At 33.9% G+C, this 25,859-nt stretch overlaps 1 annotated feature.

Moving 5' to 3' along the window:
* Positions 2,842 to 3,011: an enhancer, noted in NCBI's record as "experimental_78156 CRE fragment used in MPRA reporter constructs". NCBI's record gives its function as "activates a minimal promoter by MPRAs in K562 erythroleukemia cells, with activity observed for both the introgressed and non-introgressed 4:30209882 variant alleles {active_cell/tissue: K562}" and the evidence as "EXISTENCE:reporter gene assay evidence [ECO:0000049][PMID:34662402]".

The following is a 25,859-nucleotide window of genomic DNA, read 5'->3' as shown; positions in this document are numbered from 1 at the left end:
TACAAATAATGATTATGAACTCTATTTAACATTATGAAAAGACTATAATAAAACATATACCGAAAAAGACAGAATATGGACTTCTTCATGTACTGTGATTATAACTGTTTTCTGCTTCAGTGTATGAGACAATTTAGAGAATACCAATTTAACACGGTGTTCATATGAGCATTTTCTCCATTTCCCAATTTCCGGTAAGTTATTTATTTTTGTAATTAAAATATTAAAAATATTAAATTTATTCAAAAACTCAAGAAAGCAAATGAATATCACAGAAATAAGTATTGGAAGTGTCCAGAACTGGAAAAGTCCATAGACATAAATATTGGAAGAGTTCATTGAAAGAACAAAATAGTAGAGCAGCTAAACACGTGAGCATGGACAAACTGTCCACTTTTACATCTGCTGTTTAACACTTACTAGATTGGTCATCTTGAAACGGTGACCTATATGCTCTGAAGATTAGTTTCCTTGACCTTAAAATGGGAAATAATATTAATAATAATGTTCATTTCACAGGTAAAGCATTACAAAAAGATTCTGAAATATAATGAGTGTTCTTAAAAGCTAGCAAATGATGCCTGATAGAAAATTAGCACTGTGAGGCTAGAGATTTGCTTAATTTACCACTATAGTGTGTACCTGTTATTTTAGTGGTTTCATAATAAACATTTGTTGGAGAAGGAATGAACGAAAGGCAGAATATAATGAAGCAGATAGAAAATAATTATCAAAAAATCTAGGGATTGTCAAGAAAGGAAATGCAGGTTTTTCAAAATAAATTTCACTATTTGGAAAAGGTCTGAGAAGGTAGCTAAAATAACACTTAAGTGTCCTGGAGAAAATTAATCCAATTATCCTACTGTATAAGTTTTTTCCTGAAAAAAATATATACTTGTTTTCAGAAACTACATTGACGCCTTCCTTGTAGTAATTTACTGTGTCTTTGTTCAAAATCATTCTCTTGCAGCGAATTAGCTCAAGCCCTCATAGAATCAACTGTGGTAAATAAGTAAAATAAAAATCCTGTAGGCTGAGTGCAGTGGCTCACGCCTGTAATCCCAGCACTTTGGGAAGCCGGGGTGGGCAGATTGTCTGAGGTCAGGAGTTCGAGACCAGTCTGATCAACATGGTGAAACCCTGTCTCTACTGAAAATACAAAAAAAATTAGCCGGGCATGGTGGCATGCACCTGTAATCCCAGCTACTTGGGAGTCTGAGGCCGAGGAAGTGCTTGAACCAGAGAGGTGGAGGTTGCAGTGAGCCGAGATCGCACCACTATACTCCAGCCTGGGTGACAGAGAAAGACTCCGTCTCAAGCAAACAAACAAACAACAACAAAAGAAACACTGTAGAAATAGTGATTATGAATAACATTTGATAAGATCTTTTAATAGTTTGGGGAGAGGAAAGACAGAAATGACCTAAAGCTTAGAATGCTCCCACTGAAAAATCTTCATTCTCACTCTTTAAAATTCATCTCTCTGCCTTTACTCCATCATGTCATTGAAATACATTGATCCCCACAACCCACACACATACTATGTTTTTCCAACCTCAGGTCATATCACATTTGCAGCTTGCTGTCTTAAAAATATACCTGGAATACATCCCAGTGTATTGATTAGCTTTCAGATTTAAAATGAAAAATATAACTGACTTGGAAGGCAATAAACCAAGCAGTGGGCAGTTTTCTCTATCACTTTTTCTATGAGTAGCACAGCAGCTATCTTAACATTTTCAGGGTAAAAGGAGATCTGAGTGAGCCCTTTAGCACTGTGATAATAAACTTTCTTTCAACACAAGTAGGGGATGTAGCATTGACTTAGAGGTGTTCTGGGAGATAAAACACCCATTCTTTGTTTAAGAAGGAAGTGTGAATGAAGGGAGTCAGGGAGTCTGACTATTCAAAAGCCAAACTAACACTCACAATTTTATTATTTATCTATTTATTTATTTAGAGACAGAGTTGTGCTCTGTCACCTAGGCTGGAGTGCAGTGGCACGGTTTCACTCACTGCAACCTCTGCCTCCCAAGTTCAAGCTATTCTCCTGCCTCAGTCTCCCAAGTAGCTAAGATTACAGGCATGTGCCACCATGCCCAGCTAATTTTGTGTGTTTTTAGTAGAGATGGGGTTTCACCATGTTGGTCAGGCTGAACTCAAACTCCTGACCTCAAATGATCTGCCCACCTTGGCCTCCCACAGTGCTGGGATTACAAGCATGAGCCACTGTGCCCGGCCACATATTTATTTTTTGAGTCAAAAGGTGAGTCATTCAAAATAAACATACACATACATGCACCCACAAGCACATATTCCTTGAACATTTACTTCATAACAAAACACTGGGGACTTGGCCTTCTCAAAACTTACATTCTAACTGGTGCAAATAGACTCTATTTTTTTTTTTTTAAATTGAGTAAGGTAATTTTAAAACCTAGAACAGATGTTACCAAAAATGGAAACGTGGGGCAGTGGCATAGAGAGAGACTAAAAAAGGTTTGACGGCTATTTTAGAACAAATGCTCTGAATGTCTTCTCTTAAGATGACATATTTTAAGCTGTGATGTGAATAATGAACAATCAGGCATGAACATATGCGAGCATTGTGCACTTTGAGAAAACATTTGTACAAATTTCCAAAGAGGGCCGTGGTTTGAAATTTTCAAACAACCGGGGGAAAAGAGATGGAAAAAAAAACATTGTTAGGACTGAAGAAAACAACAAAGGGTTTTATACGGAGCTAGGGAAAAATAATATCGGCTCAATGAGCCATGAAACGTGGTATGGATCTCTTTCTACTGTAGTCAATAGATTGTTTTAATCAAGACATTGATAGTATGTGGTAAATGAAAACAATTTCTGCACACACACAAACACCCAAACATTTGTATTGTGTAGGTATAGTTTTCACAGAAAAAACATCTCTCCTATGTCTTTTCTCTGTTGGCATTGTGTTAGCAGAGGCACACACTACTCCAATATCCTACATCTTGTGGAAAAGGTTAATATAGTGTTCAGGGACATATATAGGTCACCAGGTCTTCGATGAGGTCAGAAAACATGTCCAAAGGAATCAATGTGAGCACTGAATTTTGAAAGCTTTAGTGAGATTAAAAAAAGGAGGTAGTTGTTGTCCAAACAAGCAAGAGGAAAAAAGTCATTGAAGTATGGGATTCTTGTCACAGAGATACCAATTTTAATGATATATAATTGTTAAATGATTTTTAGATTTATAATTATTAAAATTCAATAATGATTCTTGCACTACAGCAGGTACTTCCTGAAGTCAGTGATTAATCCTTTTATCTCTTTAGCATGATACTTGGCCTATCTTAACCACTGTCTCAGTAATTGAGAGAGTATACAATTATATTTATTTACTTTCTCTAAGTATTTAACATGTTTGGCAAAACAGAAAAGCTGAAAAATTAAAGTTAGTAGTTGACTCTTAAAACATGGTATTAAAACTGTACCAAACTGAAGCTATAATTTAATGTTTTCTAAGTTTATATACTATCTTATTGAAATTAGAGATGTGTCAATATATATGAAATATGCTTAGTAGTTCTGTATGTTGCAATACTTCCTTCACCATATTATGAGTGAAGTTACTAAATAATTGCTAAGTCATAAAAGTATAGTTTACATTGTTTACATTACCATCAGTAATACTGATGAGCCTTTTTTAAAAATGTTCTTTAGTTGAATCAACTTTTACATATAAATTTTTAATTTCTTGATTTTCTCATAAACATATAAATATAAGAAATATGCACTCTAAATTTACTCTTATCCCCAAGGTTTTAAATAGTGCAGCTACATTTGCTCAATGAAAATACTTGCTAATGTTTAATGGACAAATATTTTATTTACAACAAATATAAAAATCCTTCATGTATACTGGAGACAGAATAGAGAATGGTTCTCCAATTCACAAAAAATATATTAAATATATTATTGTAAGTAAATAAAACATTAATCATTCATTGAACTATTGTACTCTTCAGTAAACATTATAATTGTTCGATATAATCAGATTTTACATCGACACTGATAGGTAGCTAGTAACATGTTCAATTTGCTATTGAAGAAAATGGGGATCAATGTGGTTTACTCAACTCATCTCGGTTGGTAAATGTGGGAGAGGGCTGGATCTGAACTCAAGTCAATCCACTCATGTGTGTCTTCTTAATTTAAACCATGAGTACTTTCAAAGGATGCTTGAGGATTCAGGAATCCTCAATAACATGAATTTCTTTTATTGTGCAGCTCATGCTGGAAAGAGTAGAAGCAAATAAAACTATGAAAGAAGGGGAAAGATAATTCATATGTTACCTTTTCTGTTATTTTTATACTTCTTTCCATCACTCCCTTCCACCTCACCTTTTCTTCTGTCTTACATATCTCCATGGCATAAGTCTTTCTCCTTTGGTCCATGGCCTTCTTTAACTATAAACATATCTTATCTGTGTAAACATATCTCTTCAAGAGAAATTATATAAGATATGAGCACAAAATTGCAAACTTAATATAACTCTTCCCCCTATAATTCTCTACAAATGATTTGGTCATTTTTAAGCTTATAAGTGAAATCTTTGTGTGAGTAATATATTTGCAAGTATGCAAATACCACACATGATATATAATTCAGATGTTTGTCTCTTAAAAGATATGGAAATAAGCCAAAAGCAAAGTACTTATAATTGTCCATACTACAGAGAGAAAGTTATGTAGTTTACATAGCCTTAGAGCATCTGTTATCTGAATATGAATCAAAAATACTTTCTTAAAAGATCCTGGGCATATTAATTGAATTGTGATTTTTGTTTCCTAAAGGGAAATGAATCAATAGACAACTATTGCAAGGAACTGCGTAAGAGTAGATGGTAAAATATTTATTCAATTTTGATAAAAAAGAAAAAATATGATTTCTTCTCTATAATCAGAAGATATTTAAGAATCAAGTGTTTGGATAGGAGGAATAAACGAGGCAAAAAATAGAAAGCAGAGAAAAACTTGGTAGTCAATTTTCCAAGAAGAAATGCCCTTTTCCAAGGTCTACCTATTTGCAAATTATAATCCTCTGTGCCTGGTTTTTGAAGAGAATAATTTATAAACATTGCACAATCCTGTGTCTTACATTGCAGAGCTCCAGTGTTGTAAGGTTTGATGAAATTAAGCATGTCTTCCTTTTTGAAAGATACCAATTTTAATTATTTTTTCATTACAAAATAAATCAAATTCAGAACACCTGTAATAAATTACAAACATGACTGAAATACTTTACAGTATCTTCCATCAAGAGGTAGAATCTCTATTCCTCAACGGCTTGAATCTGGGCTTGTCTTGTGACTTGGTTTGAGCAAGGAATCTGATAGAAGTAATGTTTTGAATGTTCTCAGCTTTGGATTCAAGCCCTCTTGAAGCTTCTGTTCTTGCAGGTAAAGAAGCATAAGCTAGCTTGTTGGATAATGAGAAACATGTAGCCCAGTTGCCCCTGTCAGTCCAATTTACAACAAGTCAACCCCTAGAAGCAGAGCTAGGTGACCTGCAAACAAGCAGATATGTGAGTGAGTGAGTGAGTCCAGTTGAAACCAGCAGAGAAACCATATAGCTGAACGAAGCCATGTAGCCCAAGCAGTCATCCCCCAGAACATTGAGCTAAATAAAGGGTTGTGTTTTCAGTCTTTTAAGTTTCTGGGTGATTCTATTATACAGCACAAAATACTGATGCAAAACCAATAAACCGGGAGGGGTCAAAATTATTTCAGTTAATTTTTGACAAAAAAATTAAATGAAAAGCTATATTCAGATATTAAGGACACTACTCACACCTTCTTTCTGAATGTGAATGTTTTTCACTTGTCTGGAAATTCGATAGTCCCAGAGCTCTGGTTGCTTGTTTAGCATTGAGGTTGGATGAGAGTGGATCAGCCTGCTTGCGGACTCTGGGCCTCTACTAGCCAAGTCTGATGACTCAGGCAAAGGTGGAAATCTTTACTGGTTTTACTTATTATTTTCTCCAGAAAAGGAAATTTGGACCTGTGGTGACATCCAATCACAATTCTCAGAAAAATTTAAGTCACTGAAAGACACACCAAGATCACCTTTTGAATAGATGTAAAATGTAAACAAGCATGTTTTATAAATAAACAAACAATTTATTTGAAAGCAAATTAGTTTTAGATTTTAACTTCAAAGTTGAAATAGGAGCAGATTTATTTCTCTAGTAATGTAACTGTTGACAGAAAACAAAGATTGAATAAATGAAATGTGGTTGCTACTTCCGGCCTCCACAGGATCCAGCAGTTAGGAAAAGGAGTGTATCTACCTCCAGTGGGTAGGGGTGTGGATAAAATTAAAGTTCTTACAACATGGGTCCCATCACGTCATCACGTCCATAGAGAAGAAGGGATTGGTCACTGCAAGGTAGTGAATTCCTGAAGGAACTAGGTCAGCTTTGTCACTTAAGACAAGCCAGCAATTTTACTATGGGCCTTCAGGATGGGTAGCATCCCTGATACTAGCGAAAAAGGTTGCCCCTTTTCCACAGTCTTTCCAAGAAGAGAGCTCAAGAACACACACTTTTAAGTGGCTAGTTGGGTAACTTGGGAATCTTTTAAAAAGCGATTCTCAACCTGTGGCTATTTCTCCACTGAGACATTTGGTAGGATCTGTAAACATTTTTGGTTGTCAGATGATGCCTATCTCTTAGATCCTTGATGGTTCCAATATTCTACAGCCCCAAATGTTGTAGATGTTGTAGGAAAGGTGACTTACCTCAAATCTCTAGATGAACAGACTGGCTTGCCCAAACAAAACCAGTATTCAAAGACTGAAATAAGTTACTATGTTGTCGAATGTGCAGTCACCAGCAAGTGGCCACAAGAATCAATAATAATCTGAAAGACGTGCTTCCACTAAATAAACAAAATAAAATACCGGTAACAGACTCAAAAAAGATAGAGATTTGTAAACTGCCTGATGAAGAATTCATAATTGTTTTTAAAAACCTCAGCAAATTTCAAGAAAAATACACAGAAACTATATAGTGATATTAGGTAAACAATAAACAATGGGTAAAATGAGAAATTAAACAGAAAGCCAAACATATATTAAAAAAGCAGAAATTCTGGAGCTGAAAAACTATAAAGAAGGAAATTTAAAATGCAATAGAGACTATCGACAGCAGAAAGAGTAAGAAGCAGAAAAAAATATATATGAAGCAAAGACAGTTTATCTGAAAATGTACACTCAGAGGGAAAAATAAAAGAAAATAAGAAAGATTTTGGAACATCATCACAAGTGCAAATATTCAAAGGACAGAATTTAAAGGAGAAAGAGAGACAAAAAAGCAGAATACTTATTTAAAAAAAAAGGCTAAAAACTTTCCAAATCTGGGAAAAGTTAAAGGTGTTCAATCATATTTAATCCATATAAGACAATACCAAGGCATGTTATAATAAAACAGGAAAATATAAAAAACAGAGAGTATCCTAAAACATCAAGATAAAGAAAACATATTACGTATAAGGGAGTTTAGTAAGGCTACCAGCAGACATTTTTAGCAGTAACCTTAGATTCCAACAGAGAATGGGATGATGTACAGTAGTTTCCACATTATCCATCAGGAATATATTTCAAGACTCCCAGTGGATGCCTGAATCTGCAAATAATACCAAATCTTATACGTGACACTTTTCCTATGCAGTAATATTTGTGTAGAGTGTCCTTCATGGCTATATGGGACAAAGGGAAGATTCACATCTTGCATAGGATGGAGAGGATGACACGAGACTTCATCATGTTACTCAGAATGTCATGCAACTTCAAACTTATGAATTGTTTAGTTCTAGAATATTTTATTTAATATGTCTGGAACACTGTGCACAACAGGTAAATGAAACTATGGAGAGGAAGATGGTGGATGAGGAAATACTACTGTATTCAAAAATGCTGAAGAAAAAGACTATCAACCAAGAATACTTTACGAGCTAAGCTGTCCTTCAGAAATGAAAATTGGTTAAAGGTTTTTCCAGACAAACAAAAGCTGACATAGTTCACACATTAGACCTTTCTTCTTTCTTCAAAAGAGAGCTTTTCAAAGTGAAAGCGAAGGATACTAATTAGTAATTTGAAATTATATAAAAGTATAAAACTCACTGGTAAAGTAAATATATACTTAATTTCAGTATATTCTAAAAATAAGGCCAAGTATATGTTGCCCACAAGAGGTTCACTTCAGCTTTAAAAGTGATGGGATGAAAAAAAGTATACCATGTAAATGGAAATCAAAAGAGAGAAGAAGTAGCTATATTTACATGAGATAAAATGGACTTTAAGCCTAATACTTTAAAAACAAGGAATATATATTTATTATATATTAATAATATAATAAAAAGGGTCAACATGTAAAAAGGATATAATAATTGTTAATATTTATCAAATATTTATCAAAAGGATATAACAATTTTGAATATCTATTAATATTTGCTGTATATAATTCTTCCTTCAATGCGGGTGTGTACCCTTAAAGCTGAAGTGAGCCTCTTGTAGGCAACATATAATTGGCCTTATTTTTAAAAAATTCATTTAGCCAGTCTATGTCTTTTAATTGGCTAGTATATTTCCTTTACATTCAAGGTAATCATTGATATACCTGAATAGACAGACAGATAAACATTCTCTGTGATAGCCCATATATTAGGCCACAAAGCAAGTCTTAACAAATTTAAAAAGACTGAAATCCTATCAAGTATCATTTCTAAATATAAAGGTGTGAAACTAGAAACCAATAATAGGAGGAATTTTAGAAACACACAAACATGTAGAAATTAAACAGCAGGGTCTCCAACAGTCTATGAATCAAAGAATAAATTTTTTAAAAAATTAAAAATATCATGAGATTAACAAAAAATGGAGACACAACATATCAAAACTTACGGAGTGCAGCAAAAGCAGTTTTACAAGAAATGTTCATAGCAGTACACTCCTATATCAAAAAAAGAGAAAAATCTCAAAAACAATCCAGCATTACTTACTCATCAAGGAACTAGGAAAAAAAGAAGAAAGCCCAGAGTTAGCAGGAAATAATAAAGATCAGAGCAGAAATGAAATAAAGACCAGAAAAATGACAGAAAATATCAATGAGAGTAAGAGTTGGTTTTCTAAAAAGAAAAGCAAAGTTGACAAATTTTAGCTATATTAGTGAAGAGAAAAAGAGAGATGATACAAATAAAAAAAATCAAAAGTGAAAGAGGAGACATTACAACTAATATCACAGAAATATAAAGTCTCAAAAGATATTATTATGAACAATTATATAATACCAAAAAATAGATAATTTAGAAGAAATGGATTAATTTCCAGACACATGCAATTTGTCAAGATTGAGTCATGAAGAAACAGAAAATCTGACAGGCAAAAAATGTAAGAAGATTTATTCAATAAAAATAAATTTCTCATTAAAAGAGAAGCTCAGGACCTGACAGCTTTACTGGTGAATTCTACCAAATATATAAAGAAGAAGAATATCAGTCCTTCTCAAACTCTCCCAGAAAATTGAAGAAGAGGGAATACTTCTAAACTCATTGCACCTCACCGTCATTACTCTGATATCAAAGTGAGACAAGGACACTAAAAGAAAATAAATTTTAAACCAGTATTCCTGACAAACGTGCATGCAAAAATACTAGAACACCAAATTTAACATTACAGTAAAATGATTATTCACCATAATCAATTGGGATTTATCTCTGGAATTCAAGAATGGTTCAACATACGCAAATCTATAAAGGTGATATGCAATGATAAGAGAATAAAGACCAATAGATCATCTCAACAGAGGCCAAAACACATTTGGCAAAATTCAAATCCTTTCATGATAAAAATTCTCAAGAAATTTTATGTAGAAGGAATGTATCACAACACAGTAAAAGTCATATATGAAAAACCCACAGCTTACATTCTACTCAATGGTGAAACATTGAAAACTTTTCCTCTGAGATCAGAAATAGGAAAAGAATGCCTACTCTTCCCACATCTATTTACCATATTATTGGATATTTTAGCTCAAGTTATTAAGCAAATGAAAGAGAAGAAGGTATCCAAATCAGAAAGAAAGATATTAAATTGTCCCTTCTTGCAGATGGCATGGTTTTCTATCTATGTAAATTATATATAAAATATAATATAATATATATATAACCCTAAAAACTTTGGCAAAAATATTCTTAGAACTAATAAATGAATTGCAGGATACACAACAGACAAACAAAAATCAGTAGTGCTTCTATACACTAATAACAAACTATTTGAAAAAAAATCAACAATTCCATTAACAGTAGCTCCAAAAGAATTATTTAGGAATAAATTTAATGAAGCAGGTAAAAGACCTGTACACTGAAAACTATAAACCACTGATGAAATAATTTGAAGACACAAATGGAGAGATATTTGGTGTTCATGAATTGGAAGAATTAAAATTGTTATAATATCCATACTACCCAAAGTGATCTACAGATTTAATGAAATCACTATCAAATTGTCAATTACATTTTTCAAAGAAATAGAAAAAATCCTTACATTTGTATGCATTCACAAACAACTCCAAATAGCCAAATAAATCTTGAGCAAGAAGATAAAAACTGAAGGCACTATACTACCTGATGTCAAATATGATACAATGCTATAGTTATTAAAGCAGCATGATACTGGCATAAAAATAGACAGATGGAACAAAATAGAGGGCCTAGGAAGAAACCTACACATTTACGGTCCATTGATTTTTGACACCATACTCAAAAATTAACTCAAAATGAAACACCTGACACCTGCAATCCCAGCACTTTGGTAGGCCAAGGTGGGCATATCACCTGAGGTTGGGAGTTTGAGACCAATCTGACCAATATGGAGAAACCCCATCTCTACTAAAAATACAAAATTATCCAGGCGTGGTGGTGCATGCCTGTAATCCCAGCTACTCAGGAGGCTGAGGCAGGAGAATTGCTTGAACCGAGAAGTGGAGGTTGTGGTGAGCTGAGATCAAGACATTGCACTCCAGCCTGGACAACAAGAGTGAAACTCTACTTTAAAAAAACAGCGAAACATAAAACCTGAAATGGTAAAAGTACTAGAAGGAAACTTAGAAGAAAAGCTCCATTACGTTAGTCTGGGCAATGATGTTTTGGATATGACCCCAAAAGCACAGGTAACAAAAGGAGAAATAGACAAATGAGATTACATCAAACTAAGAGACTTTTGCACAGAAAAAGAAACAATCAACAGAGTGAAGGCACAACCCACAGAAAGGGAGAAAATATTTGTAAACCATATTGCTAATGAGGGATTAACGTCCAAAATATATAAGGAGCTTAGATAACACAAAGGGAAGAAAACAATACCCCAATTTAAAAATAGACAAAGGATCTGATAGACATTTCTCAAAAGAAGACATGCTAGTAATTGGTCAAAAGGTATATGAAATGACTCTCAACATCAGTAATCATCAGGGAAATGTGAATTAAAACCACAATGAAATATCACCTCATACCTGTTAGAATGGCTATTGTCAGAAAGACAAAAGATAAACATTAGTGAGAATGTGGGGAAAAAGAATCTTTGAATGCTGCTGGTGGAAATGTAAACTAGTAAATATAACCATTATGGAGAACTCTACAGTGCTTCCTTGAAAAATTAAAAACAGAGCTACCATATAATCTGGCAATCCCACCACTGGTTATATACCCTAGGAAAATTAAAAACTATATGATGAAGAGATACATGCATTTCCACATGTATTCCACCAGTATTCACATTAGCCAGGATACATAATCAACCTATGTGTCCATCAGTGGATAAGGAAAATGTGGTATATATACACAGTGGTATACTATTCAGCCTTAAAAAAGAGGAAATTCTGTCATTGACAACAACATGGATGAATCTGGAGAATATTATAATAAGTGAAATAAACCAGGCACAGAAAGACACTTATATTTAGAATCTAAAAAATTGACCTTATGCAAATACAGAGAAGAATCATGGTTACCAGGAAGTTGGTGTGGATGTGGCCATTTGAAGAGTTGACGGGATATTGGTCAAAGAATACACAATGTTAGGAGAAATAAGTTTGGGGGCTGGGCGCAGTGGCTCATGCCTGTGATCCCAGCACTTTGGGAGGCCAAAGAAGGCAGATCACTTGAGGTCAGGATTTCAAGACCATCCTGGCCAACCAAAATGGTGAAACCCTGTCTCTACTAAAAAAAATACAAAAATTAGCCAGGCGTGGTGGTGCGCAGCTGTAATCTCAGCTACTCAGGAGGCTGAGGCAGGAGAATCACTTGAACCTGGGAGGTGGAGGTTGCAGTGAGTAGAAATTGTGCCATGGCACTCCAGCCTGGGTGACAGAGTGAGACTCCATATAAAAGAAGAAAAGAAAAGAAGAGAAGAGAAGAGAAGAGAAGAGAAGAGAAGAGAAGAGAAGAGAAGAGAAGAGAAGAGAAGAGAAGAGAAGAGAAAAGAAGAAAGAAAGAGAAAGAAAGGGAGGGAAGGAAAGGAAAGGAAGGAAAGGAAGGAAAGGAAGGGAAAGAAAGAAAGGTTTAACAGATCTATTGTAAAATAGTGTAACTATAGTTAATAGCAGAGTAATTTATTTTTCAACATCACTGAGTGTGGATTTTATGTGTTCTCAACACAAAAAATTATAAGTATGTGAGATAATGCATATTTTAATTAGTATAACTTGGCTATTTCACAATGTATACATATTTCAAAACATGTGCATTAAAAATATACGTTATTATTTTTATTTGTCAGTTAAAAGAATACATAAATAAGTTAACAATAAGAAAGCTCAGTGACAGTCTTAACATGGAAACAAAACTGTTGCTTTTAAATTTAAATTACTTCATTATAACAAAATCATGTTATTCTATTTATAATTGACAAACTACAATTTTCAAATGATTTAGGCAAAAGCTGGTAAAACAATAAGGCCTGGTCCCCAAAGGAAAATTCCATAAAATAATTTACTATAATGAATTTACCAAATACCTTAATAAAATCTCCTTTATTATATGATTTTAGCTTTACAGAGAAATGTTGTGCGCCTTGTTAACAATAGACAAAATCACTGTTTATGAATCTCATCTGTTACACAAATTAAAAATAGTGTATTTCATGGGATCATTTCAGGGCCTTGGGGCTTAGGAAGGGAATTTTTCTAAGTGTCTCTCACAGTATTCCATGCAACAAATGTCACTGAACATATGAAAAATAACATAATGTCTTCCCTTTTTGAGAGGAGTTGGAGGAAATTTCTTATTTTATGAAATCCTCAGTGAACATACCTTAAACATGATTAAACTTAATTTCCTTTTTTATGTTCATTTTTTAAAATTTTCATTAAAAAATTTTTTGTAGAGATAGGGTCTCACTGTGTTGCCCAGGCTGGTCTCGAACTCGTGGCCTCAAGCAATCCTTCCACCTCAGTCTCTCAAAGTGCTGAGATTACAGGTGTGAGCCACCAGGCCAGGCCTATCTCCTTTTTTGAAAAGTTGTAGTGTAAATCATGATTACATATTTATTATTTCAAAGGTGATTTATGTTTATTAAACTTATAGAATTGGAGGGACATTTGATTATATAAAAGGTATTTATTTCCTTCTTTCTAAAATTATATCAAATTGACAACTACTTATCATTTGGAAGTTAAACCAAAACCAAATATTATTTTGCTTCTCATACTGTTTATTCTTTTTGTTTTTTCTATTGTGAATTCTCCAAAGCTCACTTGTTATCTTAGAAGTCTTTTTTTATCATCTCATGGAACCAGTGGAAAGAAACAAGTGGGGTAAAGCAATCTAACCTAATGTATTGACTTTTATAAAAAATAAATGTCAAAACTGTTGTAAAGTTTTAATTTGAGTAACTGTCTTACAAAATGACAGAAAATCAATCTTTATAGAAGTTTAATATCACCAAACGTATAGTTTAGATTTTTTGAATTTTTTGCTTTTTCTTCTCATTACTTGCAGATCGAAATCTAAAATATGAGTGTTTTCCTTTTTTTTCTCATCCATGAAAATCATTCTGATGGTTAGTAAATTTATTACTGTGTTCCTTGATTTTAAAGTTATTTCAGGCTTCTTCATTACCTTGATTACATTATCTTATACAGTGACCCACAAAAAAACCTGTTTTTATCTCTTTTATTCTTTGACTTATAAGGTAGTGAAAATACTTAGCAGAATTTTTGCAGAAAATAAAGTATCTTTATCCATAATATATATGGAACAGAGAAAGGATTTAATTGGTATTTAGCTTGGAAGCAAGTCTCAACATTTATGCTGTCATTCAAAGTTAAACATTTGCCTTTCAAACTCATTCATTTATCCAGCACAGTTTTACTGAGCATGTACAACATGCCAAAATGCCCCTAAACAAGAAGATATAGTAATTAAAGCAAAATGAAGTTGTGTTCATGGGGCATGTTTTGTAGCATGTTTATTCTAGTTTATCCTACCTATCTTTATTGATGATAGTATTTCCCTTATTTTCAGATATATGCAGTCACCTTTTTAACAAACATTTATGGGGCTCCCACTGAGTCACCTTTGTATTAGGTGCTTGTTAAATAGTGTTGAAATGAATACTGTCTTTGTTGCTCTTAAATTATAATGGGGAAATAAATGCAAAATAATGAGATTTTAAGTGTGAATAAGGAAACAAATAAAGAAAAAACCTGGCTAAGAGTGAATCCCAGTACAGATTGGGTGGCTCAGTATTTTCCATAGGGAAGCAGAGTGAAACTGAAAGCTGGAGGAAGGGAAGCAACTAGCCATGCCCAGGAATTCAAATTTGAGTTCTCCTGGTAGAACAGCATTATGCATAAGTACTGAGTTGGGTGAGTTTCAAAGCGTTAAGACTGTGAAAGAGGCCATGGCAAAAGAAGGTTGGTGAATGAAAAAAAAAAAAAGAAAAGTATTAAAGGATGTTAGTTGGTGGCAGTGATGATGAGGATCAAGGAGAAGATGGATTTTGGAAGTGTAATTATACAGAATTGGTGATAAATGTTATGTGAAGAATAAGAAAGAGAAGAATCAAGGATGCTTCAAATATGCTGGATTAAGCAGCAATGTAAATAGGAATTACCGTTTATGGGGAAAATGAGTACAGTTTACAAACTATGGAGATAGAGACACCCATATGGTGCTCAAGTATAAATGTCAGGTAGATAGTTGACTGTAAGTCAAATCTCAGAGCAAGCGCTGAAATTGAAGTTGCAGGTATAACCTGAGGAGTCTCAGACTGCAATTAAAATAATACAATCTAGTTAGCTCCCCCAAAGAAAGGGTGGGGAGAAGATAATTCCCATATATGCACTTGGATTTCGGTAGAAGAGTAAAATCTGGGAGCATGTATTAGGTAATGGGTATCCAGAATAAATGGTACAAAGCTTTGCCTTCTAGGGGCTCAAGGTTAAGTTGGAAAGATAAGTAAATATCTAAATAGTTATAGGATAAAAGTATGTACTCGGTACTAATGGAGCACAAAGCAGGAAACATTTAATTCTGCATGCGGGTATTTCAGAGGAGACTTAAAGAAATTTGCCATTGAGCTATTCTGCAAATCTTTACAATACATTAAGTAACAGGCTAATAGGACACGGGGAAGTTCATTCTGGGCAAAAGATTTGAGATAAGAAAGAAGCATTTGAGATCTCTAAGTAATTCAGCTTAATTATGTGATTATAGCCTGTTTCACAATGTAAGATTTAAGTTAACCTTCACTGATGTACTTTTTCACTTTTATTTTACATTCTTGTAGTAATTAACAAATCATATTGCTTTTGTCCTTTGTCTGCATTATATGTTCTCTCCTGATTTGCCCCTTAATCTGCACAGGCAAGAAAAAAGTGTCTTTTCTTCTTTTTCAACTTAGACATTCCACAGTTTTGCACACAGAGCAGGAGGACAACAAATGTATCATTTCCTGAAAGACTGGGCTCTGGTCCCTCTGTCCTTGGTGATCACGGAAAAAAAATCCTTTTAACCAGTGTGAAAAGCAAAGGAATCACACCCAAAACATTACAATGTATCATCATTTCATCCTGTCTGTGATGCCCTGATATAAGTAAAACGATTCAGTGACCTGAAATTAGCCTCTAATTATAGCTTCAAGTATTATTCTGTACAACTTAGGTTTCCTTAAATTCAAACAGACTCAATATTGAATCAATTTGTTAAACTTACTTATTTCAAGATTCTTAACAGACACAATAATACTAACATATAACAATTTCTGCATATAAACAATTGTGTGGTTTCACTTACTGAAGTGAGAGTACTACTTCTCAGCTAGAATAACATGCAGCCTAAATGCAAATTAAAAGCAAAATAAGACACTCTAAGTTGAGAACTTTGAGAACTGCTTGCTGTTGGCTAGAATGGTTTTAGTATTGTTGTTGATCATTACACAGAAGTATAAGGACAAACACTCGTAAAATAAAAATATAGAGTTCAATCTAACAAATCTGTCTGTCTCGACCCTCTCTCTTTCCAGTATACATTTAAAATGAATAAAGGATTTTGGTTACGAATTCAAAATAATTCAGTAAAATCTGAAGTCTAAAACAAAAACAACAAAAATATCTTGTTGGCAAAAAGCCTGTGTTTTTGAAAAAGAAAATCTCCTAAAAGTGATGCCCCCTCCTCTCCAACTTTTTATAACAGATTTTCTACCCTAGACTTGGAGCAACTTAGAATCATGAATTGTGAAAATGGATTATGCATAAAGGTGCCAGCCTCCGAGAGCTGTGAGTTTTCCAAATGATAATTTCAAGACAATATTTAACTAAATGCAACCATTGTGTAAGTAGAAGGGCGTTGTCAATATAGACATTTCAGTAGAGAATAGGTGGCAATATTGGATTTCAGGCATTCAATCATTCATTCTGTTATGTGATAATACTGATTATCAAATATTTGTTAACACCAACATAACATTTTGTTAGGTTTTCTGGTAAAACCACAACCATAAACAGAGACTAAATATGCTTTTATAAGGATCAAGTAGCCAATGCCATTTAACCAACAATACATTAGAGACTTTTTTTAAAGGGCTCCAGAGTTTTCTGACATGTGAAAAAAACACATATCTCGAGGATCTTACAATGTTTATGTGCATAAATGTCTACAAAGCCCTTGCAATTTATGGCTAAGTTTAATATTCAATTGAAAACATCCTATTGGTTACACTTTTCCCTTAAGTATTACAAACAATACTCAGTGGCTTTTAAGAAATGCTGGGTTACCTGAATTAAATATCCAAATAACTTAATATCAAGCCTACAATAACATATTTTATATAAAACAATCTACTAAATTTGTGCTTATCGTTTTACTATAATGTAGAAAGAGATGGTCATAATTTGGGGGGTTTAGGTCTGCAAATTAAATAAATTCAGGAAGAAAGGAATGAAGGAAGAAAGGAAGAGAGGGAGGGAGGGGGGAAGGAAGGAAGGAAGAAAGGAAGGAAGGAAAGAAAAAGGGAGGGAGAGAAAGCAAAGAAGGCAAGGGAGGCGAGGGAAGGAATATGGGAGGAAGAAAGGGAGGGAGGTAGGAGCATTTGCTGAAAAACTATTAAGTATCAGGCACCAAACAATTTATCTTTTTCCATGATTCTCAGACACTGTTCTATTAAATTTTAGTATTTATTTTTTTCAAGGTAAGGATACCAAGTTTCAAGAAAGTTATATAAATTTTTATGAACACATAGATAATAAGGACAATAGATGATAAAGGACAGAACCACGATTTTAAGGCATCGACTTTTGATTACTCCAAGATGACACTCTATACTTAAACACAAACTGACTTAACAAATATTTACCTCTACCTAGTTTGATCATTTACCTACTTTGCTGATAAATATTATAATCATCAGCAAAGTTTCATGATATAATGTTTCTTTATACCTCGTTTGTAGCAGGAAAAATAAAAACAAACACACAGATAGGTTTATGAAAACTACTTTATTTTAGGATATTTTCTACTCAGCATTGTGAATAAAAATTCAATGAATGATAGCTAAAATTAATAAGAAAGACATTAAATAGGATAAAGGGCATAATTGTTGACTAAAATGTTTATTTCACTGTCTATTCTACATGTCATTTATAAAATCATTACTTGCTGGAACATCTCCTCTTAATAATAATAGTTACTTTGTCAGATTTATTTTTTAAAGGCAGTGATTATAAAATGTAAGTGGGATTATGCTGTTTTACTAAATTGCACACATGTAAATTCAAATTCTATAACACAAACATGAGGTCAGGTTTGTTTCTCAATACAAAATTAAACTATACTAAATTACACTATACTAAAGGGAAGTGCTTGGCTAAGGAGGTTTTGCCATCTCAATAAATGACTATCATTTATGCAGTCTGCTCATTTCCCTGCAATGCTTTTGCATGTTCAATAAAAGTTGATATGAGTGAAAGGATATGAAATCCCTACCAATAAGGTAGAAAGAAAAAATAACACTAATTTAAAATAGACTTCAGCTACCTGTCATGAGCAAATTAAAAAAGTCTTTAATGGAAAGAAGTGCAGCAGTCGGCAATACCATTACTTAGTCCTGTAGATGATTCAGCTTATTTAAGTCTTAAAAAGGATTCAGATATGAAGATATCTGAATCCAATGTGGTTATTATATGAAATAAGCTTAGCTGTTTCAATTTAATAAGTCTAGAAGTAAAAGGTAAATTGTTCCCATATTAGGTTGAATCTTTTGATGTTTAAAATAGCATCTCTTGTGATATCCTGATTTCATATTTTGCTTTTGTTTATTTTGTATTAATCTTAGTCATCATTTGCAAATTTTCCATATTAACTAAAGTGGAATAAACACAGGCATTGCACTTGACATATGTTGGGCTATAAAATGTGGGGGGAAAGTTAAAAAATTATTCCATTCTATCAGGGATTGCTCAGCAAGGTAACTGCAGGAGACTTTCAACTGCTTGTCCCTGCAAGATTATATCAGTAAACTGACAAGTTCAACCTCCTGTATTTACAGGTTCCTGTTGTTAAACATCATTAAATTCATTGATTGAATCCATGCAATTAAAAAAACAAAACAAAACAAAGCTGCCACACAGCCAAGGCCCTAACTACAACAGCAAGGAGTGTCTTTGAGAAACTGAAATTAAAGACTGAAAATTTGCACTTTTAAAATGTGGATTCACTTACATTCTTTATGTTTCTTTTGGCAGGCACTGTAGTTGGCAGTCGCACAACTGCTATGCCCTTACAGTTGGTGTTATTTGCTTAAAAAAAAGTATATGTCAAATAGAAGGCTGGCAAAAATAATAAATAAAAAAGATAAAAATTGGAATGGATTGTTTTGAAGAACCTCTCTATCTCACCACTTTAATTCATTCAACTCTCTAATCATCCATACATCAGTTGACTAAGAAAATATTTTGAGAACCCACTATGGACAAAGAATGTATCACTAATAAGGCAAAAAGTAAATATTCTCCCATTATACAAATTCATTTTTACTGAGATATATTTCACATACTATAAAATTTGCTTTTAAGTGTACAATTCAGTGGTTTTTAGTATTTTTACAAAGTTATGCAATTATTTAATTCCACTACCATTACCTGATTCCAGAACATTTTCATTACCTCAACAGAAACCATGTGTCCATTTGTAGTCATTCACCATGATTTCCTCTTCCTAGACACTGGCAACCACAAATTTACTTTCTGTCTCTATTGACTTGCCTACTTAGACTTTTTGTGTAAATGGATTAATGTACCATATGGCTATGTCTTTTACGGTTACTTTCATTGAGTACATTGTTTTTAAGGTTTATCCATGTTGTGGCATGAATCAATGCTTTATTCTTTTTTAACGCTGAATGATAGTTCTCTGCATGAATACACACGTTTTCTTTATGTATTAATGAGATGGTGGGCCTTGGCTTGTTTCCATTTTGGGGCTATTAGGAATAATGCTGCTATGAACATTACTGTACAGGTTTTTGGACATTTAAAAAGATTTTATTGGGCATATGCCTAGGAGCGGAATTGATGGGTCTTATAGTAACCCTACATTTAACCTTTTGAGGAACTACCTAACTGTTTTACCAGGTGGCTGTAATATGTTACATTCCCAGCAGAAATGTATCAGGGTTCCATTTCTCTACCTCCTTGCCAGTATTTTTTTTACTTGTCTTTAGGATTAAAGCCCTCATAGTATGTGCAAAGTGGTATTTCAATGTGAGTTAATTTTCTTAGCATTTTCAAAGTAGGTGATATTTTGGTAGATATGAAAATAGAAGCATAGAGACAGAGTAATGCAAATAAATAATAGAAAGTAGGGGGGTGTGTGTGTGTATATATATATATATATAAAATATATATATATATAGTTTCCAAATGAAATTATGCAAAAAAAAACTGTAATTTTTTTTAAATAAATAACATAATCACAGAGTCAGATCCTCTTTTATAGGAGGAGATATTCATTGATTGGCTTTTGAAGTATGAACACTGTTGACACAAAAGTGAGGCGAGAGAAAACATTTTAAAAAGAGTATTTAATGTAAAATGTATGGAAGTCAAATTGCACAAGGTAATATTGTGAAGCATTGAGTGGATCAATTTTTATTGAGTAGACAGTTTAAAAAATAACAGAAGGGGCAGGCGCCATGGCTCACACCTGTAATCCCAACACTTTGGGAGGCTGAGGTGGGCTGATCACCTGAGGTCAAGACCAGCCTGGCCAACATGGCAAAACCCCATCTCTACTAGAAAATACAAAAACTAGCTGGGCGTGGTTGCAGTTGCTTGTAATCCCAGCTACTCGGGAGGCTGAGGCAGGGAGAATTGCTTAAACCTGGGAGGCGGAGGTTGCAGTGAGCCGAGATCATGCCACTGCACTCCAGCCTGGGCAACAGACCGAGCCTCCATTTCCAAAAAAAAAAAAAAAATAGAAAAACAAAACAAAAAAAACCCCTAGAAGATTGAGAAGGCATATAACCATTGCATCCGAAACAGAGAAACATAAACATTTGTAGTTACTACACAGGTTCAATATTTTGAAACAATGAAAGATAATAACAGGCTTACACATCATAATGAGTGGTACATAATAATAAATGTGCTATATCCTGAAAGCTTTATTAAAAATTTGGAAAGAGATGAAATTTGAGTGTACAAGAACACTTACATTATGTTGGTCAAATGTTAGAAGGAATGATTCAGAATTAGTCAAGCATTGGACAAACTTCTATAACCTTTTGGCTTCCACCACGGTCCTTTTTCTGTATTATGGTATCTTATTGGATCCTCACTCTCTAAGTACATATGGATGTGATTGTTTCTGGATGCTGATGTTTTATTTTTGAAGACTGCTAGGCTACCAGCTTCATTATGTTTGTAGAAAATATTTCACACTAAGTTTCTAGCTATCTCATAATTGAAGGCACATGTTATTGATTGACTGAAACTGAAAAATTAGAAGGTAATAACACTGAATTCTCGTGCTCATGAAGATGACAACTGATCTTACTGTAGGAATAGAACCTCTTCCTGACCATGCCTTTTGGAATAGGCAAGTGTCCTGCTGATCTTGACATTTCAAGAAAGTTCTGGCAAGGATAATATTCTGTGAATGCAAGAGGCGAAGGTGGAAATCAAGAGAATAGTTGAGATATTTAAAAAAATGGCAAATACCAGGTAAAATAATGAGAAAAGTATGGATGTGCATTCATAGCATGATACGTGAAATGAAAGAGACAGAATTAGCGTAATGTGCACCTGTTCACCTAGAATAGTGTTAAATTAAGTTTATCTTAAAGTTGACTACCTGTAAGTTTGGCCTAAATGTTTCTCCATATATAGTGAACTGTAACCAACTGGATTTGTAAACAGACTGTAAACTACTTACACCAATCACTGTTTCTAACAATTATAGGCAGCCAACTTTTCAAATAAGGCAAAGGCCAAGCTATAACTTATCAGTTGTTTCTGTTCCTCACTTCCAACTTCTGTATGCCACTTTCCCTTTGTCTGTCCATAAATCTCCCATCCTGTGGTAGTGCTGGATTCCCTCTGAACCTATTCTGGTTAGTGGGGCTGCACAATTCATAATCATTTTTTGCTCATTTGAACTCTTAAATTTGTCTAAAGTTTTCTTTTAACAGATGATTACAGAGGTGTGATCTGAATTAGAGCTTCTAGCAACTCCCAGGAGCACCAAGTGATCAAACAAGATACCCACCGGGTTACTCTGCCCATCGCTCCCTTGCCGCAAGTGGGGATCATGGATCAGTTCTCTCTCAGATCCCAAGGCTCCAGGGATTTGTGTATTGAGCTATATGATTGTGTTTGAGCAATTTGTAAATCTGAACTGGGTTCAAAAATTATGACAGAAACTAGATTGGGTTCAGAATCACATCGGATCTGATAATTAACTAGCTTGGATTCAGCTTTAGGCCTCAAGACATCTGATTAGAGCAGGCATAAATGGGCAGTAAATGGCAATACTGCAAAAGGTATGAACTCTGACTTTCATGAATTTGCAGGGATTTTTGTGTTCTGCCCCCTTTGCTTCTTTTTCTTGCATGCTTAGGTAGGAAAGAAATTACTGACTAAGTTGATCAAGGGAACCTGAGAGCCAAAGCCAAGATTCAATGTAAAAATGGGATCCTTAACTTCTGAAAAACTGAGTATTCCACCTTCTGGCAATACTTACCTTTTCATGGGTAGGCATTAGGTCCCAGAAGCAGCAAATTCTTACAGAAATGATGCAATCTTACTAAAGGTTGTTTAAAATTACAGTAAAATATTCAAATGAACAGTACTGTACTTTAAGAAGTGCACTTTTAAAGTGAAATGCAATGAATTAGGCTCATCCAGGGATATCTATTGATTTGCAAAAGCTTCTAAATAGATTTCAATATTTTTAATGTCTCTTCCTTAAAAAGATTCTTTATAAAAGGCAAATAAAAACTTAAGTGACTAATTGATAAGAGAAATGGAATCTGCTAAAATCTTGACTTAGTCATGGTCACACCCCAAAGCACTTCATCTAATTCTTAAACAACCATCTCAGGTAGGCATTACTTCTGATAAAGTGTAGAGATTAATTTACTTTCAAGGTCACAAAGCTAGTAGAATATGAAAAAATAGGTTTCTGAATCCAGGCCTCAACTCTATGTGCAATGCCTCTTTTCTAATTCTAATTACTGCATTGGTTAACAAGAGATAATGATAAAGCTAATTTGCCTCTTTCTGAGATCACAAGTGATATTTTAAAAGGTTACAATAACTATACATTTTGCACAACTTACACTATTGCAATACTCCACCAATGGAATATTGCGTGATGAGAAATAGCACCACGAGGCTGGGCGCGGTGGCTCAAGCCTGTAATCCCAGCACTTTGGGAGGCCGAGGCGGCCGGATCACGAGGTCAGGAAATCGAGACCATCCTGGCTAACACGGTGAAACCCCGTCTCTAGTAAAAATACAAAAAAGTAGCCGGGCGAGGTGGCCGGCGCCTGTAGTCCCAGCTACGCGGGAGGCTGAGGCAGGAGAATGGCGTGAACCCGGGAGGCGGAGCTTGCAGTGAGCCGAGATCGCGCCACTGCACTCCAGCCTGGGCGAAAGAGCGAGACTCCGTCTCAAAAAAAATAAAAATAAAAAAAAATAAAACCGTCTCAAAAAAAAAAAAACGAAACTGTGGGTCAGGAAAATAATAGTGAAAATAATGACTTCTATAATTCTGATATCTTTAAGAATCCATGTCTCAATAATCAAGCAGAAATAAACCAAGTGAGAATGCTACTCCAATATAAATAAACAAAGTAAGCAAATGATTGGTGTTCAGTTTTGGCAATTTTATTGAACCAATAAAATTCTTACTAATAACAATGAAATAAATTTCTGCAAGTATAAATATGACACAGTTTAACAAAACCCATTGTCCTGTACCTATAGATTTTCAAAATGTCATAAAAAGTGCAGTTATGAATTGTTAACATGTTAATACACAGTTCCTTTATTTAAAAAAAAAATAGAAAGCTATCCTGGATAAAGTGTTTATAAAAGCTAGGCCCTCTGGTAAAGTAGGCTTGCTTCTTTTTTGGATCTATTCACACTGAATCTAGGCATAGAGAATTCTTTCTTTGAAAGATTCCTTATGGGCTCCACAGTGTACTCAGTAATTTTAGTTAAAAAATAGCAGCTAAATTAAAAGACTACCTATTGAAATAAATCAGCCACAAAATACATTTTTTTTTTGCATGTTAGCTTGCTATCTTGAATTCTTTTTATAAACAAATTTACATCTACAAAAGTAATTCCATTTGTAAGGGTGTCTGAGAGGGAAGACCTGGTCAACAGAAGCTCAACAGAAGCTCTTACCATTGCTATTTCAATAGCGAGTCTTACCTTTGTTTAAGATCCTTTTCCTGGTCATCTCATCTTAAATGGGCCTTCATGTACAACCATTTTCCTTGCTTTGAGTGAATGATGGTACAATATTTAGGCCTAAAGCCTCAACCCTGTACTTTTGAGATATAATTTTTCTACCATGTTTCATCTAAGACTTTAGAAGGCAAATTGTTGCCTAACTAAAAATGGCTTAGGGCAATGCAACAGAAAATTAGAAGACTAATAGACTAAATGGGAAAATAAAAACTATTTGAAAGCCAATAAATGAGAATTATTTATGAAATCTATAAGATCTGCTTGTTTATCTGCATGTCTATATGTGCTATGTGTATGTAACAAAATATGGTATGTAAAGCTAGTTTTAAAATTGTTGGTAAAATAAGAATGGGTTCTGAATTGTCAGTTAAATCTAATTCACACTTTTTTTTGCCTGAGTTTTCAGACAGGTTTATGATGTCTCTACTATATGTTTTAAGGTAATAAAACTGCTACTTCTGTAATATTTTCAATACTTGCTTGATTTGACCGTAAGCTTATGTTTTGGGATTTGGTTTTCCCATTGGCATGAGATGGCAATCCCTGTAATCACCAGCACTTTGGGAGGCGGAGGCAGGTGGATCACCTGAGGACAAGAGGGACATGTCCTCAGTTGCTACAGCACCAGCTATATGGCAGGGTCATGCTCATATGGCTCCATTTTTCCTGTCCCAGCCTTGCCTCCGGGCCATTTTGGGAAGAGTTGGATCCTCCAGGGATTGTCTTCACAGCTGTTTTCTGCCCTGAGCTCTCCGCCTGCTATTTAAATTTAGAATCCAAGTGGGCCCTGCCCTTCATAGTCATTCTGGTTGCTATATGGCTATTTGAGATTCAGAAGAACTGGCAAAGATATTAGGGAGGGTACCTGTGTCATAGTTTCAAAATTATTTTCATTCATATAAAATTTTAAAGTTAAGTTAATAGATAAACATAAAATGTATGAAACATTTATAAATAAGTTAAAATACTGAAATAATAATTAAACATAAATTCATATTTATATAATTTGGCATGTTATTTTTATATAGTATAGAAAATGTAAATATATTTAGATCTGTTAATAAGCATAAATTTGGAAAAGCATATATTTCTAAAATAATTATGAATTTGTTTACATCTACAAATACTGATATAAAACAATTCAAACTTATTTCATAGATTTTTCACTAGAAATTGGGCTTATTAAGAGTTACATATAATAAAAACTGCACAGTATAAGAAAAACAACTTTGCATACAGAGTGTATAAGGAAAAGCAAGATATGTTTTGGGGGAGAAAAATTGTAAAGGCATAAAAATGTGTTTTCTAGAAAAATTAATTTGGTTTAGTTTAAAAGTTACTT

This window comes from Homo sapiens, chromosome 4, assembly GCF_000001405.40.
Source record: "Homo sapiens chromosome 4, GRCh38.p14 Primary Assembly".
Lineage (NCBI taxonomy): Eukaryota > Metazoa > Chordata > Mammalia > Primates > Hominidae > Homo > Homo sapiens.
Note: the sequence above shows the minus strand (reverse complement) of the source record. Positions and strands in the feature narration are given on the sequence as shown.